General features: G+C 51.2%; 1 long non-coding RNA gene across 1 annotated transcript in view, besides 2 other annotated features; it reads left to right on the forward strand.

Moving 5' to 3' along the window:
* The window catches only part of LINC01512 (long intergenic non-protein coding RNA 1512), a 47,180-nt gene that overhangs the window by 23,942 nt on the left and 5,111 nt on the right, over positions 1-18,127 (forward strand). The gene's annotated exons all lie outside the window — the stretch shown is intronic.
* Positions 9,501-9,560: an enhancer, noted in NCBI's record as "active region_24622". NCBI's record gives its function as "activates an Ori minimal core promoter by ATAC-STARR-seq in GM12878 lymphoblastoid cells {active_cell/tissue: GM12878}" and the evidence as "EXISTENCE:reporter gene assay evidence [ECO:0000049][PMID:35858748]".
* Positions 10,585-11,318: an enhancer, noted in NCBI's record as "H3K27ac-H3K4me1 hESC enhancer chr6:43893291-43894024 (GRCh37/hg19 assembly coordinates)". NCBI's record gives its function as "activates a minimal SCP1, AML or CMV promoter by ChIP-STARR-seq in naive H9 embryonic stem cells {active_cell/tissue: H9 hESC(naive)}" and the evidence as "EXISTENCE:reporter gene assay evidence [ECO:0000049][PMID:30033119]".

Here is an 18,127-nt window from a genome sequence, read left to right on the forward strand (position 1 = left end):
AAGAGCCTAGATCTCCAGGGAGGCCTCCCAGTTCTCTGGCAGTGCCCCCAGGATTGCCCTAAAGTGGGGTGCAGGAGCAGGGCAGGCGAGCGGGAGACTGTCAGCCTGGGCACATGGAGGAGGGCCCACTTCTTGGTCTGGAGCAGGACCACAGATCATCTCCTGATGTGGAGATCAGTCTTTCCCACTAGGGGACTTAGCTCCCCACTCTCAGCCTGCCTTCCTGCGGGTCTTCCCTTTCCTGTGCACCCTAAACCCCCAGCCACCTCTCTATTCCCCAGTACATGCCAGGCACTGGGCTAGGGCCATTTGCCTCCCCCACTCCTCCAAACCTTGGTGGTGAATCTCTTCACCCTCATTTTACAGATGAGGAAGCTGAATAGAAGTATCATTAAATAATTAACCCAAGGTCACCCAGCCAGTCAGCGGCCTGGCTGGGATTAAACCTAAATCGGTCTGACTCCAAGTCCAGCTGAGAGATCATATCAGCCATGTATCCTGTGTCTTTTAAATCCCACACTTCCCCCTCTCCCAGAACCCTGACCATCAGCCAGACCAGAAAGTCTAATATAACTGGCTCCTACAACCCACCGGTTCATATGTCCCACCATCAGGATGCCCTCCTGGCATCCGAGCTCACACCTCCTGCTGTCTTTTACCCTGATATCAGGGAAAGAGTGGAGCAAAGATGGTTCCCCCACCCTGCCCCACGTCCTGTTTCTGTGTCCCATGGGACTGTGGCATTTCTCTGTGGCTCTGCAGGGTGGGTTGCTCCTGGCTGCGAAGCCAGAGTCTCAAACACTTGGGAAGGAGGGGGCTCTGAGGTTTTGCTGGGAGAGACAGGTGTTCTCTTGGGCCGCCTCACAGAGGAGACTTGGGCCTTGCCTTCAGACCCTACCATTTCCTACTGAGTCCAGGACAGGTGAGGAGAGAGACAGAAAGAAGGTGGGGACTTTGGAGACCTTCAGAGGGTCCTTAGCTTCTGATGCTGTTTTGTTCTTTGGGACAAGTTGAGGTCATGCCTCTTGGACACCAAGAAGTCCTGGGGTTTGGAAATCCCCACATGGCCCTCACACCCTTGTTGCCCTCAGACCTTTAGTTGTGGAAGAAACTGAGTGGAAAGGACACAAGCTTGCATCCATTCCCTGAAATCAAGGAGTTCAGTTCCTCATCTGGGTGAAGAGGAAAGGGGAATTCCAAAGACTCGGCTCCAGTGCCCTGGTGTTGAACCCAGATCTTCCATTTCTTAGAAGCCTGCTGTTTTCTGGTAGAGCCTTCTGACCTCTGGCTTCTGGCTGAGTTTGGCAGGTGGATCAATTAAACCCCAGTGTTTGGAGAGGGGGTTGAAGGGACACAGTTTGGCTCCTACAGCTCCCTGACTCAGGAGATTGGAACAGAGAAAGCCTCTTGACCCTGAGCCCATCAAAGCTCCTCTCTCAGGTTTGCCTTTTCCTGCCCCTCACAGCCCTCCTCTTCTCGAGAAGGCCAACCGTCCCACCACCGCTGTGGGAAGAGGGGCAGCGTGGGCTGGGCTATCAACTGGGGCGTCTCCTATCTGTATCCTCAAAGCTTTCTGAGTCTCCTGCACTCCCTGTCCAATGGACATGGGTTTTCTCCCTGGGCTGGGCCCAGGAGAGATTCAGAATAGGAGCCAACAGAGGCCCTGAACTCAAGATCCTGCCGTCAGAATGCAGACACAGTCATGCCCATGGATTCCAGGCCAGCATTAGTGCCAAAGAGAGTAATCATAATAGCTAAGTTTCCTTGAACACTTCCAAAATGGGCACTTTATATCCATTAACATGTTTAATCCTCGAAACCACCCTGGGAAATTGGTGCTATCATATCTGCATTTTACAGATAAGGAAGCTGTGGCTCAGAGCAGCCAGTAACAGGCCCAAGGTCTTACAGCAAGGAAGTAGCAGGAGCAGGATCTATCCCAGAGCCTGTACTCTTACCTTCTTCACCTGTGCCATTCAATACAGTGGCCGCTAAAAGCATGTGACTATTTAACTTTGAATTCATTAAAGTTCAATGCAGTTACAGTTCAGTTCCTCACTGCACTAGCCACCTTTCAAGTGCTCAGCAGCCACATGTGGCTAGAGACTGTCACATTGGACAATACAGATATTAAATGTCTCTATCATTGCAGAATGTTCTATTAGTCAACACTGGTCTACAGCCTACTGCCTCTCAAGAATAGAGATGGGGCAATGGAAAATCATCCTTCAGTTAGTAGACTAAAATAATAATTAACAATAATGATACCAATGGCTACAATTTACCAAGAGCTTCCTCTGCGCCAGGCACAGTGCCAAGCCCATAATCCTTACCCAATCCTAGGTTCAGGAAGGTAACCCAGGGTCACAGTAGCTAGGAATTGAATCCAGGTTTGTGTGGCCTCAGAGTCCAGTCCACTGGCCCTCGCCCTCCTGCCCCACCCCCTGCCCGGTCCCCAGCAGTTTATAGTCCCTGGGGGAAGGAGGGGAAGGCAAGTGCGCTGTATTTCACAAGACCAGGGATTAAATAAATCAGCACGTAATTAACATCATCACATTTCCCCAAGCCCGCTGACCAGAACATTGTGCTAATGAGGTCAAGGTCTTGATGTTGAGCCCTGTGAACATCACATCACTTCACTTCATGGGAGAAAGGCTGGCTCCCTGCCCTGAGGGCAGCCCCCCACACTGTGATTGGGAAATAGGGAGAGTGTGGATGTTGCAGCACAGCCTGTGGCCTGCTCTGAGGCTTAGCGTAGTAGAGGGTCGGGCGTCCGGCCAAGAAGAATCCTATTAAACGCTATGGGGATGTGTCTTCTGGACAACTGGGAATCTAGAAAGGATGGGGTTAGCAGAAAGCAAAGCCTGAGTGTGAAGAAAAGATGCAGCAGAAGATAGAACAGAACTTCTGAGACTTGCTTCCTCTTAGTTGGGTAAAGCCTTTTGGGCAACATGGGGACATACAGGAATTTTTGAGGGCTTGGCTTGGGTGGGGAGATCTGCCTTTAGTATCCTGTAAGGATTGCACTATTTGGCGGAAAGTTAGCCCAGTTGCATGTCAATCCCACATGGCCTCTGGGGAGATAAGGCCTGGGGAGAGGCTAGAGCAGGCTGTTTGGCAGTAGCAGGTCTCCTCCAGACAGGCCTGAGGAGTACATGAGACAATGTAGGTACAGAGCCTGAGTGGGGCCAGGCACGTGGTAGGTCTTGGTAAACATTAGTTTATTAAACTATCTCCCTCCTTTAAGCAGCTTTTTTTCTGGGCCAGTATACCACCAGGTTCGGGGGTTCTGATGATGTCAGCATAATGCCAAAGGCATGAGCCAGTGGCTGGCTGTGTGAGTCAGGATAGGCCGTGCTGTGCTGCAGTGACGAAGTATCCTGGAAATCTGTGGGCTAACACCACGGAGGTTTTTTCTTGCTCATGCTATTTGGCTAAAGCAGACTGGCAGGGGCTCTGTTCCATATAGCTGCTTAGGGACCCTGGATGTTGGATGTACCAAATTTCAACACGGAGCTTTCTGGTTGCTGCTGCAGAGGCAAAAAAGAGCAGGAGGGCTATGCAGGAGGGCTATGCAAAGATCTTAAATGCTTTGACCCTGAAGTGCCAGATAGCATTTTCACTCACAGCCTATTGACCATGACTGGTCTAGGGTCCTACCTCATGGTGAGGGGCCTGAGGAGTGTGGGGCGCATGTGGGTATTTGGTGAGCACTAAATGTCTTTGCCACTCTACCACTTCCCCTCTCAAAATTCCATTTCCTTCTCCTGTAAAAAGACTATTAGAATGGTTAAAATCCAAAAAATTGACAGTATCAATTGCTGATGAGGATGCAGAGCAACAGAACTCTTGGGAATGAACTCTCATTCATTGCAAAACAATACAGCCACTTTGGAAGACAGTTTGATAGTTTCTCAGAAAACTAAGTATAGTCTTCCCATAGGATCTAACAATTGTGCTCCTACGTATTTACTCAATTGATTTTAAAACTCATGTCCTTACTAAAACCAGCATGTGTATATTTATAACAACAATTTATTCAGAGTTGCCAAAGATGGGCTGGGCATGGTGGCTCATGTCTGTAATCCCAGCACTTTGGGAGGCCAAGGTAGGAGGATCACTTGAGTCCAGGAGTTTGAGACCAGCCTGGGCAACATGGCGAGACTCAGTCTCTACAAAAGATAAAAAAAAAAAAAAAAATCAACCAGGCAGAGTGGCATGTGCCTGTGGTCCCAGCTACTTGAGAGGCTGAGGTGGGAGGATTGCTTGAGCACAAGAGGTCAAGGCTGCAGTGAGCCATGTTCACGCCACTACACTCCAGCCTGGGCAACAGAGCAAGAACTTGTCTCAAAAAAAAAAAAAAAAGAAAAAGAAAAGAAAAAAGAATGGCCAAAGATGTAATTACCAAAAGTAACCAAGATGTACTTTAATAGGTGAATAGATAAACAAACTGTAGTACATCCACATAATGTTATACTATTTAGCAATAAAAAAGAATGTGCTATCTAGCCACATAAAGACACGAGTGAATCTTAAATGCATATTGCTAGGTGGAAGAAGCCAGTCTGAAAAAGTTACATACTATATGATTCCATTTATATCACATTCTGGAAAAGGTAAAACTATGGAGACGGTAAAAAGATCAGTGATTGCTAAGGATTCAGGGTTGGTGGAAGGTTGAATAAGTGACGTGCAAAAGAATTTCTTTGGATGGCGAAACTATTCTGTATGATATTGCAATGGTGAATATATAATGCCGCAACTGTCAAAACCCCCCAGTGTTACAGGGCGAAGGGGACCTTAGTGTATGCAAATTTTAAAAAGTCATTTAGGATGTTGGGAGATTGCAAGAGGGAATGCAGAATGTGACAAAAGAATCTAATCTAAGTGTATTACAAAAGGATAAAACAGCCTCACTGAAGGGACAAGGGGGAAAAGAAGCTAATGTAAGTAGTTTGGGAAATGAGAAGAGTCTGTAAGACTAAAGGCAAAAAGAACTGTGCATAAGCACTGTACTCTAGTCAATAAAGTTTTTTCCCGTGTTTTAAAAAACAGTATTTGAAATCAAGTTGAATAAATAATGCGATGAATGAAATTGGGTAAAAAAATGTTTTATTCTGATTTGATGAGGTATGAATTTGACTGATTTTAAAAGTGCTTGTAACTAGAATTCCAGAAGAGCAGGCAAGAATGCTCTGACAAATGAATGTTTCTGGAGACGGGATAGTTCGTGGGAGACAGGATAGTTCAGGCTGGATCCACCACTGCAGAAGCTGCTGGAAGGGAGGGAACAGTGGGACTGGGAAAGGGCAGGGACAAAGATTTGCTCTTTGGCCTTTTCCATTTTTTCAGCTGTTGATATAAATAAGTAAATTACAAAACAAAAACAAGGTCGGGCACAGTGGCTCACGCCTGTAATCCCAGCACTTTGGGAGGCTGAGACGGGTGCATCACGAGGTCAGGAGTTTGAGACCAGCCTGACCAACATGGCGAAACCCCGTCTCTACTAAAAATACAAAAATTAGCTGGGGGTGGTGGCACATGCCTGTAATCCCAGCTACTCAGGAGGCTGAGAGGGGAGAATCACTTGAACCCAGGAGGCAGAGGTTGCAGTGAGCTGAGATCGCGCCACTGCAGTCCAGCCTGGGTGACAGAGTGAGACTCTGTTTCAAAACAACAACAACAACAACAAAATTCACTGAACAAAGCAGATTGATTAGCAGCTCCTCCCTTCTCAGGCGACCTCTCTGAATGAAAACCTCACTCATGTGCCTAATTTCCAATATTATTTATTAAAAAAAAATCCACCAGGCCCGTTTCTGATCTTACCTAATAGAGGATGTGTTCCTCCTTGTTCCTGGGGGATGCAGTCAAGTGGGCAAGGTGGTGCAGGGGACAGAACCTGGATGCCAGAATCCCTGTCCCACTCACAGCTGAGTGGCCCCAGAAAGTAACCCAATCTGTCTCAGCCTTGGTTTCCTCTTTGCTGTAACGGGCCAAAATTCCCCCATACTGGGTGGTGGTGGGGAATTGGAGAGAATGTACGTGAGCAAAGAAGCCTAGGGTCAGGCGTGGTGAAGCCTTCAATTAATGGTGGTGACTATTAGCTGAAGATCTGAGGGACACGAACAGATCAATCAGGATGACCTGAGTTGGGCTGTGTAGGCGACAGGAGAGATGAGGCGTCGCTGACTGAGTGGCACAGGAAGGCCCATCCTGCAGGTGCTCAGTGTGTGAATGGGCAGGAAAAGGCAAGGGGCCACTCCAGGTATGGGAATTGTAAGAGCAAACACAGGACGCTGGGCTGAGCAACATGTCGAGGCTGGAGGGGAGGGAGCCCGGGGAGAGGGGCAGAAAGGAAGCCTGGAAGGGCCAGGGAGAAGGCACAGAGGCGGGCAGGGCTTCCATGCCCTGAGAGTAAATCCCTCTAGCATTTATTAGCCTTGGTGAGCTCTTTGGTGACCCTGGTACCTTTAAAAAAATAAACAGCAGGTGATGGGACTTCTGGGGGAAGAAAATAGACCAAAGCTAGGATGTGTACCAGGACAGAGAAGGGCCCTGCCCTGAAATGAGGCCGGGAGGGTACTCAGCCTTTTGGGAGGCCTGACTAGCCATGGCCTCCCTTAGGGTCTTTGCCCTCCAGTGCAGCCTGTTCCCAGAGGTTACCTGAGGCCCTGAGCCTTCGGTGGGTCTAGTTCACCCTTGGAAGCAAGGAGGGGCTCCTGGGGCCCAGAGACTGGCCTCCACTCTTGGACTGGGCAGGAATGGGCCTCCGTCTTCAGACCTGAGGCTCCCGAGGGCAGAGGCTGGTTCTCCCCATGGACCCGGGGGGTCCCGGGAGTAGGGTTGGGTCTTCCACCTCAGCTTCTCCCTCAGGATCCCACACGGAGATCTGCCCCAGTGCACCCTTGGGATGTAGTGACAGAAACTCCTGCTTACTTAAAAAAGGGTCCTCTGCAAACTGTGCCGAAGAACAAGGGCCAAAATAAAACAAAGAGGGGATTTCGTTGTTCTTCTCCTTACCGTAAGTTCAAAACACATTTTTCTGGCCTGTGAGAAGATGCTTCTCCTGGGCCAATACTGGGCCCCTGGGTTGGGTGGCAGTGGGACGGTGCCAAGGATCGGGCTCTTGCCAAAATAAATCGATCTCCTAACCTTTGCAGACAGCAGAGGTGGGGCAGGTCGACCCACTCCCACATGGCAGGGTCTTCCTGGGGTCACCAGGCTGTGGCCATCGTAAATAGTTTAACTGTGTTTATGTAGCAGTAACATGCGTGTTACCTTTCACAGTGATCACATTCCAGACGGCAGTCTTGGGTGATTTACCTTGCCATGCGCGGCCGCCAGTCCCTGCAGTGAGTGGGTGGCCTCTGGGGCCCAGCTTCGCTGTCCCAAGAGGACTGTTTTTAAAGAGCTGCCTGGCATGAGAGACTTTATACCCCCACCTTGCCATGCCCCACCACAGGTATGTTCCAAATCTGGGGATTCCTCAGCAGGCTCCTCAGTGCCCTCTGAGGAGTCTGAGGGGAACTACTGGGGCCACAGTGTCCCCTCCCCACCCCTTCTTGCCTCCCTGGCTAGGGCAGCCGGTGTTTGGAACTTGTCCATCATGTTTATGGTGATGGATGGACATAGGCTCCAGCACTGCTTCCAGTACTCGTCCTGGTGTCTGTTGCAGCAGCAGCCCCCAGCCAAGAGAAAATAACAAACAACCTTTTGGAGTCCTTACTAGGTACCAGGCACTGTTTTGTATACCTTATAAAAGGAGTGCTGTCATGAGCCCCTTTTACAGACAACAAAACTGAGGCGTGGTGAGTCTGCATAAGTCATCTAAGGACACACTATGAGTGAGGCGCAGGTCCAGACTTCACAAGGCAGCCTGCACTCCCAGCATCACGACTCTCCTCTCTCCCTGGCCAGGCCACGAGCGCTGCCTGCGCAGGGCTGGCCCATGGAGGGGGCAGGGCAACCAGCTGGGAGATGGAGTCCAGGAAGCAGAGGATGTCCGGGCATCTGTGGCACACTCCCACATACATGTGCCCCTGTGCATGCAGGCACATGGCACATACCTGGTGGGAATGGGCACCTCTCACACAAATATGCATGTGTGTGTACATCTCCTGTACCTGCCCCACCCACATGCGTGCACGTCCTATCTATCTAAGCGCCTGCACACATACATGAGCACGTGGATACATACGCATGTACGCCTATCCATGAGGTCACCCTATACATGTACATTCCCCAGGCACCTTCCCACACTCAGACACACAAACGTCCCACACTGCACACACCCAAACCCTTGTGTGGATGGAGCATGTCTTGCTACCTTGCTTACCAGGAGCATACTGCACTTCCTTTCCTTGACCCCCAAACTCGGGGTCAGTCCTAGGACAAGCAAAGCAGAGTGGGTGCTCTCTCATGATTACATGTATTCACTCAACCAGTATTTCCCGAGTGCCCACTGTATGCAGGGCCTTATGCTGGGTACTGTAGTGAAAGACTTAAATTGAGGCTCGGCCCAGCCCCTTAAGAGTGCCATGTGTGGGGCAGAGAGGGCCATGAGTCAGTGAGTACAGTCATCCCCACTGCCAAAAGTTGGCCTGGGGATGCAGGCTCCCAGCAGGCTCCAAGCTCCTCTCTGCTGATGGTGTACCCGCCTCTGGAGGCCCAGCTCCCTGCCTAGTTCTGGGTACCTGCAGACGTGGGCTCTCTTGCAGGTTTGAGGTCTGGGAGTGGCCCAGCCAGGGACTCTGGATGCCTTTGGGAGGGCTCCGGTCCCTTCCCCGACATACTCACCATGGAAGCAACCACGTAGTGTCCCTGGGCAGCCGGGTGGGTGTGAGTCACCGGGCAGGCCAAACCCCAAATGCCTGCCATCCCTTTGGATCATTGTGTATTTATTAAGCACTCCCTGTATACCCAGCACCTGCCAACATAGCAGTGTCCAGGCCTGGCTTGTCCACACTCCCACACAGAGGGGAACAGCCCAAGCCTTCTTGCTGCGCAGCCCCTCTGCCAGCCCTGCCATGCTCCACACAATGGGTTACATGGGCCTTGCCCAGGCGGGGAGGGGGCCAGACCTTTTGTATGGCGCCTTCTACTACCCAAATGCCATGCCACAAACCCTTAAACTGGGAGCTGGGTAAATGACCCTGGCCAAGAATGGCTTCATGGACACGAAACCTGAACGGCCCACACTTAGAAAGACCCTGTGCTTGGCTTAACACTCTGCTGTTGCCGTCTTGAAATTCTTAACAGTTTTTGAACAAGGGCCCCACAAATTATGTAGCTGGTTCTGCCACTGGCTGAGGCTTTCTGTGGGTGATTGGCACAGCCCTGCCCCCACCCCACTTCCTGCCGCCTGCATGCCCCTCCGCAGCCCTGCCTCTGCCAGCTCGGCCTCCTGCCCTGGGCTGGCCCAGACTGCTGAGATGTGGGCGGCTGTGGTTTCCCAGAGCCCGCAGTGCAGCCGCAGTGTTTGAAGATGCTCTTCAGTGGTGTCTTCAGACGGTGTTCCTTCTGTCGCCCAGCCTGTGGTCGCCCTGGCCGGCTCCCACCCCGTGGTCACCTGCCTGCTGTTGCCAGAGCATGAGAAGCCCGGGAAGGAGGACTTCAGCTTATACTCAGCTTCTGGCTTAGAGCCCACATATAGACTGCTCATCCCAGCCCCATCCTAAGGCACATCATTGCTAAGCTCTCTGAACCTCAGTTGCCTCAGCTGTAACATGGGGATTCAGAAGTCCTCCCAGCAGTGTTGGTGGGAGGATTCCTGGTAACATATAGGAAGCACCTGGTAACAAGCCTGGCACAGAGTGGGTGCCTGGAGAGCATTTAGTTTTAGCTGCTCGTTAATTCACCATTTACTGAGTGCCTACTAGAAGCCGAGCCAGAAAAGATAGCTTTTACTGAAGGAGCTCACAGTCTCGGCGGGGCAGGGGGTCAGTGGGGGTGGCTGTAAGCAGAAGCGTAAGAAGCTCAACTGGAATGGAGTGCAAGCCCAAGTGGGGAAACCAAGGCCCAGGGAGGGGATGTGACTTGCCTACACCAGGACCCAGGAGTCTTGTTTCTCTGCCCACCGGACGCCCCATACACAAACTCTGCCATGTCCCGGGATTGTGGTTAACACCGTGTGCTGTGTTAACAGGTCCAGGCTCAGTCTTCAGGGCACGAGTTGGGGTCTTCTTGATGGGTTGTGGCACCCACTGTTTGGACATCATGCATGCTTCTTCTTATTATTGTGTATTTATTTATTTGTTTATTTGTTTCTTGATCCAGGGTCTTGCTCTGTCGCCCAGGCTGGAGTGCAGTGGCACCATCTCGACTTACTGCAACCTCTGCCTCCCGTAGCCCAAGTGATCCTCCCACCTCAGCGTCTCGAGTAGCTGGGACTACAGGCTCGCACCACCATGCCTGGCTAATTTTTTGTAGAGATGAGGTTTTGCCGTGCTGCCCAGGCTGGTCTCGAACTCCTGGGCTCAAGAGATCTGCCTGCCTCAGCCTCCCAAAGTGCTGGGATTATAGGCGTGAGCCACTGCGTCCGGCCTGTGTATCTATTAAGCACCTCCTGTATACCCAGCACCTGCAAAGCCTTGGGACACACAACAGCAACCCTTCAGGGAAGATCCCAAGCCAGGTGCCTGTCTTTTGCCTCCTTGGATCAGTGACGAAGAGGTCAGCGTCACTCCATTTCTGGGTGTGATGGTCCTGGGCACTGCTGAGTAAGTCTGAGGAAAGGGACAACAGCTGCAGGCCCTCCACACTCAGCTCATCACCATTCTACTGCTCAGGCCCTCATCTGCCTGATTCTTGGGGTCACTTGTTTTCCAGGGCCTAACCCCATTCTGAACTAGTTTTGGTGAGGACAGTGAGGATGTGGGAATAGGCTAATTGAAAGCATGAAGTTGAAATGAGGAGCCAGTGCTGAAGGGAGATCTTGGGCTGCCACTGAGGGAGTTTGAGCAGGATAGTGGCATGACCAGCTCTATCTTCTTTTTTTTTTTTTTTGAGATGGAGTCTCACTCTGTTGCCCAGGCTAGAGTGCAGTGGCACGATCTCGGCTCACCACAACCTCCACCTCCTGGGTTCAAGTGATTCTTCTGCCTCAGCTTCCTGAGTAGCTGGGATTAAAGGCGTGCGCCACCACACCCGGCTCATTTTGTATTTTTAGTACAGATGGGGTTTCTCCATGTTGGTCAGGCTGGTCTCGACTCCCGACCTCAGGTGATCCACCTGCCTCGGTCTCCCAAAGTGCTGGGATTACAGGCGTGAGCCACCGTGCCCGGCCTGACCAGCTCTATCTTTAAAAGATCACTCCACTGTGATGTGGAGAAGGGGTTGCAGGGCAATGGTGGACACAGGAAGGGCTGATAAGAAGCAACTGTGATAGTCCAGACACCTGCCTCTGGGAGCCTAAAACACTCCACATAGGTGGGAAGGCTTCAAAAGAGGCCTGGGGATGAAGCTGTTGCCCTCCAGCCTGCCGCGCTTCCCGGGGACCTGCAAACGTCCATCCTTTCCTCGGTCGATTCCTCGTCCAGCCTGTGGTCCTTGGGGCTCTGATTTATTCAGCTTGGGAACCAGGCAGCGAGTCTCATGTCTGCCCCAGGCCTCAAAATAGATTATTTTTTTTATTAGCTGTCCCTTGTTAACTCATAATTGCAATCATGTAACATTTAATAGAGGCACAAAGCGATCCCCATCACTGCTCCACAATCATTCATTAGCTAACAAGACAGAGCAGCTCATAAAAAAAAAGCCGTTAAAAAAATTCCGGGGAAATGGAAAGCAGGAGGTGATGCAAGCCCTGGTTAACAAAGGCTGAGGGTTGGGGGGAGGCATGAGAGGGTGTGAGTGGAATAACCCAAGCCTGATAAGCCACAAAGCAGCGCCTGCTGCTCCCTCCTCCCTCTGCCGCCTGAGTCAGAGAAGCCGGGATGTGTTCAAAATCAAGCAATGTAATTAGCAGGTTGCATCATGCCTCTCGATTATAAATTACAATGGCCACAAAGAGGGTGGATGGAGGAGCAGGGATTAGATGGGGTAACCCAATCCCAGTGCCGGGAAGGGGGACAGAGGGCCCGGGAGCTGCCCCCCGCCACTAGGAGCCACTCGGAGTGGCCTCTGTCTACTGTGTCTAGGGACAGCAACAAGGCCTACTCAATACCTGCTTTGTGTAGCCTGGGATAATGATTTACAAACTCAAGGAAATCAGGAGGTGTGAAAAGAAGATAGCCCTCTTAACCCAGCCATTGTCTACCCTCTGCTGGAATGTCCCTCAGCTCCACCCACCTGGTGCACCTGTGCACACGGATGCTGTTTGAGGATGGTCCACGTGAGGAGCCCTCATAGGGGCTGGACTGATAAGATCTAAAAGGGTTGCTGGGCTCGAGGTGTGGCGACACAGTCAGGGATGATTGAGACTCGGCAAACAGGAATACACCTGAGTGATTCCCTGAGCCGTCTCTGTAGTAGGGGAGGATGGGAGCTTGGGCTGATGACAGAGCAAGCTGTCTCCTAGGAGTTGAAGACCTGGTTCCATCCCAAACTTTGCCACTGGGAGGCTGTAGGAGCCTGGCAAGCCATTTCTCCTCTCTGGGCCTCAGCTTCCCCCCTACAACCCAACTGCTGGCTATATGACCCAGGCAAGTTATTTTCCATCTCTGTGTCTCTACTTCCCCACCAGGCCTTGCTACAACTGGTCATGTGACCTGAGACCAGCTCCCCCTCCGCATCCTCAGTTTCTCCATTTACAAGGAGGAAAGTTATCCAGACAATCTTTAAAGTTCAGCTGGGGCCTTCTCTTAGTCTAAGGTGAACTCTGTTTTTCCAAAGACTAACCAACTAGCCAGCTCACCTGGTACCTTGGAGACCAGGGAAATGGGCCTGGCAACCCTGCCCTCTAGCCATCTGCATGAATCAGAGCCCGGTGAAGCAGAGGGGAAGTCAGTCTCAGGCAAATCAAGTCACTGGTGGCACTGCTCCCCGTGAGCCCGTGTAGACACACCCTTTACTTCCTCCTGGTGGAAGATTTGGCCTTTCAGTTTAGCCTTTGCAAACAGCATTTACTTGACAATGTTTTCTTAGCAGCCCTATTCTTGTACACAGGAAATAATCCCATTAACTTTATTATCTCTGCAAAGAAAGGACAAGGATATAGATTTGCCCTTAAGTTCAATGAACTCAGTTCTCTCTTGAAAGGAAAAGCACAGAACTGAGGCAATTGCCTTGTAGGAAGCTTTCTTTGGGTAAGACCTGGCTCTAGTGGAGAGATATTGCAGCTGCCTTTTGAACTGTGGCCCTCAGCTGCTCTGGGGCCCCCAAATCTTCTCTCTGGGCCTCACTTTCATCCCCATCACCACCTCCTCACACCTACATTCTGTTGACTGAGGGACTGGACCAAACTGATGGAGAGAAGTAGGTATTCTCAACAAGCAAGGAGAGGCAGAGGCGATCGGGAGGGAATCCCGACTAGCACTGCCTTCGCTCAGACCCCAGCATTACTCCCTTGGACTACTGTAGAGACCTCCAGTCTTGGCCCCTCAGATCTCTTTGCTCCTTTGCAGCCACAGGACCTTGCTAAAAATTGTGGCTGATCACACTCTTCCCCTGCTTGAACCCCATCAAAGGCACCCCTGTCCAAAAGTCCCAGGGCCTAGTAGGCTCCACAGGCTCCCCAAGCCTGGGCCGTGCTTTTTTCTCCAGCCACTTCCTTCTACTTGCAGCCCAAGCTACCCTGAATCATTGGTCCTTTCCAGCAAACCCCAGGCTATTTCATACCTCCACACCTTTGAGCGAGCTGTTCCCATTGCCCGGACTGCCCTTCCCCTTGTTCACCTGGCCAACTTAGGTTCAGTCTTAGGGGCCGGGCACGGTGGCTCACACCTGTAATCCCAGCACTTTGGGAGGCCAAGGCTGGTGGATCACTTGAGATCAGGAGTTTGAGACCAGCCTGACCAACATGGTGAAACCACGTCTCTACTAAAAATACAAAAACTAGCCGAGTGTGGTGGTGGGCTCCTGCAATCCCAGCTACTCAGGAGGCTGAGGCAGGAGAATCGCTTGAACCCGGGAGGTGGAGGTTGCAGTGAGCCGAGATCGCGCCATTGCACATGGAGGGCAACATGAGCAAAACTCCGTCTCAAAAAAACGAAAAACAAAAAACAACAACAAAAAACAAAACAAAAAGAAAAAACTAAAAGATGCAGCCTAGGAACCTTGCTTTAGTATTAGTATCCCCTCCTCCCAGAACCCCTTCTCCAGGCAGCTCTTCTGTGCCTTCCAACATGAGCAAGCTCTAGCCCAGCAAGTCCTTATGTGCCATGTCCCCCGGAGTCCATGAGCTCCCTGGGGAGGAACTGAGCATCCCATAGTCAAACCCTCACAAACATCTTCTGTGTTGAACTGCTGCCTTTTCCTACAGCAAGCAAGAGGCAGATGTAGCCTGAGGCCTAGGGCTTGGGGTGAAGTCTGGAAAAGTTGCTCATCCATTCATTCACTTATTCATTTGTGTCATCTGAATACATGTAGTGAGGGGAGGGGGCAGGGATGAGCAGGCTGGGAAGGGAAGGACCAGACCTATCAGCTTCGTATACCACCCTGAAGGCACTTATAGGCTCCATGGAAGTCCCTGGCCCTTGGGTGGGTTGGGAGAATATCCCAGAAGCCAGCTCCCAGTGCAAGTTGGCCTCCAGGGTGGACAGACTGCCAGAGCTGGGCTGACGGTGGCACTGGGGGCTGCCTTGTGTGTTTTAGCCCAGCAGGGCCTGCACCTTGCCGACAGCGATCTCCCAGCTGCCTCAGTACAATCAACAGAAGCTGAGTGTGAGGAGGTGGCAGAGAGGGAGCCATGTGAGGCATGTTTTCACGTGTCAGGAGCTCTCAGCATGTCCCCTGTTGGTGAGGGGGCTGTCCTTGTGTCTGCATCACTAAGGAGGTGACCACTTTGCTCTCGTGTCAGGGTGACATTAGATCCCTAAGTTGTGACCTCACTCAGGTATCCGTCCTTGAGTCCCATCTGCCTCTGAGTTAAGAGCCAAAATAACAGCAGAGACATGGCTGCCTGAATACCCTTCTCAGCAATGGCGAGACACAGAACAAGCATGGCTGTCCCATTGGATGGAACAGGAGACCGGGACTCAGGGATATGGACACAGCTACCTGAGGTCACACAGCTCATGTGGGCCTCCTATAGCCTGTGAGGTACACCTTTCCTTCTTCCACCACCCTTAGGGGTGGAGCTGTGCCCCATATTTGGCCTTTACCACATCCCAATGTAGGTGAAAATGTGAATGACAATAATAACTGCATATAGTAGATGCCTACTTTGTACCTGGCACAACTTAAGTACTTTCTTCTCATTCATTCAATCAATAATATTTATTGAGTGCCAGGCACTTTTCTAGGTGCTGAGGATATGGCAGTAAGCAAGGCAAAGTCCCTGCACTCAGGGAGCTCCCATTTTAGTGGGAGACACAGACAATAAACCAAGAAGTGAGTACACAGAAAATAGGCAGGCCGAGGTGCGAGGATGGCTTGAGTCTAGGAGTTCAATGCCAGCCTGGGCAACATAGGGAGACCCCATCCCTACAAAAAATCAAGAAATTAGCTGGGCATGGTGGCACACACCTGTCATCTCAGCTACTCAGGAGGCTGAGGTGGAAGGATCGCTTAAGCTCGGGAGGTTGAGGGAGGAGTGAGCCATGTTCGTGCCACTGCACTTCAGCCTGGGCGACAGAGGGAGGCCCTGTCTCAACAACAACAACAACAACAACAAAACAACAAAACAGAGAAGAAAAGAAAATAGGTGAGGTGGTAAAAAGTAAGTGAAGAGAAAGGGTGGAGAGCGGAAAGCCTCTGATTCAGTGACATTTGGGCAGGCCCCTGAAGGAGACATGGGAGGGGGCATAGGACTATTTGGAGGACAAAAATGACAGGCAGAGGGAATAGTAATTGCAAAAGCCTTGGGACAGGAACGTGCTTGCTGAGTTCAAGGACAGCCAGAGAGCTGCTGTGGCTGGAGCACAGTGAGGAAGGAGCAGAGTGGCACAGTGTAGAAGATGAGGCCTGTGCCAGTCATAGGCCAACTCATTTGACATTACAGCAATGCTGAGTACCAGGCACTCTTGTTATTCTCTAGCTAATGAGGAAATTGAGATACAGAGAAAAGTAATCCACCCAAGGTCACACTCCAGGCATGTGGTTCTATGTTAGCGATTTGGGAGCATCCTTCTTGGCCCAGAGCACTGGTTCCCAGTCCCAGGTATGGATTAGAATCACCCGGGGAACTTACAAAGAATCCAGATGACCAAGTTTCAAATTCTGACAAGCTGCCTAGGTGATTTTGACAGAATCTTTATGACACCAGCTTTGGTGACCCACTGGGGAATGGCTGTAGACAGGCGAGGTTGGAAGAGCAAGCACTTGGCCAGGAGCCTAACTCTAGCTCTGCTCTGATCTCTGAGCCACTGCATTCGCCAGTCCTCTCTGAAGCCCAGTCTCTTCGTTTGTGAAATAAGAGAGTTGAACTCCATCAGTGAACTTCTCGGTTGCTTTTTAGCAGTAAAATCTTTCATTCAATTAGGTACTAAGTGGAGCCCAAAATACGAAAGAGGTCAAAGGAGCTTTATTTTGGGGGAGGAGTGGGATTCAGGCCATCATTCCCTTGGGAACCTCTGAAGCATAATTTTCCAATTCCCTGGAGCTCCGATCTCTGACGACATGCTTCAAGTTCTAGATACCCATATTGGGTCCTTTTTTCCCCCAAAGCAATGTCCCCTGGAATGGCCCAAAGCTCCTGGTGCAAGTCCTATAAATCCTATTCAAGGAGCACTACGAGGAGGCTGCCCAAACCCTGGCTCTGAGTTCTGAGGAGTCCTGGGTGCCTGGTGCCAATGAGGCAGGGGGTTAGGGCTGGGCACACAGTGAGCCTCTTTCAGCTCGCCTGTGTCTTCCACTTGCTGTCCTGGCTGGGGAGGAGGACATGGTGAGCCCCAAGCACTTGGGTTGATCCCTGTTCCAGTGTTAGGAACCTGTACAGGGGTAGCAGCCATCCAGCTGGTGGAGGCAGAAATTTGCTTCCACACCAGCGGGGCCTTTGACATCTTGGTTTTACCCTTTCCTTGTTTTGGAATAGTAAGAATGCCTCTGCCTGACCAGGCCCTTGGAATTGGCAGTTCTTCCACAGCCATCCTCCCGGAGACTCCACCCTAAGGGGAAGAGAAAAATGAGGTTCAGAGAGATCAAGCAACCTGCCTGGGGTCATGTGGCTAAAACTGTGGTGAGACCAGTCCTTGAATCCCAAATCCAGGGCTTCGCCTGCTAGTGCTGAGGTCCTCTTAGGCAAGGGGAGACATGCCCTGGAGAAGACAGCCCCCTGCCCTGACAGAGTCCATACTCTAGGGTGGGAGGTAGGGGGTATCCTCAGGGCCAAGTCAAACTCCTATATGTTCCCTCAACATCCAGTGCGTTCCCCTGCATACAGCAGGTGCTAAATTATTGTGATAATCATGCTTTGGAGTTAGAACTGAAACGAGCTTACAACCTGAGATGCCTTGGACTCTGCTTGGTGTTTTAGTTTCCTCCTCCATAAAATGGGGATAATAATGCTGAACTTCCTGGCCTGGCTGTGACTGGGAAAGGGGCATTGTGAACGGTAAAACAGCCTCGCTTTGACTGCAGGCCCATGACAGTACCGCATAGTAGAAATTGTACTCCCCATTTTATGGAGGAGGAAACTGTTAGTTGGAGAGTGAAACCCAGGTCTAGGGCCAAAGCTCATGCTCCTTCCACTGCACTCTGCTGCTTCCTATTACGGTCCCTGCGCCCAGCATGGTGTTTTTCAGTTTTGTTTTTGTTTTCATTCTAAGTCCCCAAGTGAGACAGGGCGAGATGGAAATGAAGCCCACAGGACCCCTCCCCTGCAGCTGCGAATAGCTTGGGCCCTGGGAAGAACGGGCTGGGTGTGTGCTCTGGGCGTGGAGATGCCCCTTTCTGCCAGCATGTGGAAGTGACATGGATTCCTCGGCATTTCCTCTGTGTGGGGGTGGGCAGTGGTGGTTCATGGAGTCCCCTTTCCCCCAGGATGGATGCTGATTGTCTCTGAAGACTTCACTGGGGTTCACTTTCT

The sequence above is a fragment of the Homo sapiens genome, chromosome 6 (assembly GCF_000001405.40).
Source record: "Homo sapiens chromosome 6, GRCh38.p14 Primary Assembly".
In the NCBI taxonomy this organism is placed as follows: domain Eukaryota; kingdom Metazoa; phylum Chordata; class Mammalia; order Primates; family Hominidae; genus Homo; species Homo sapiens.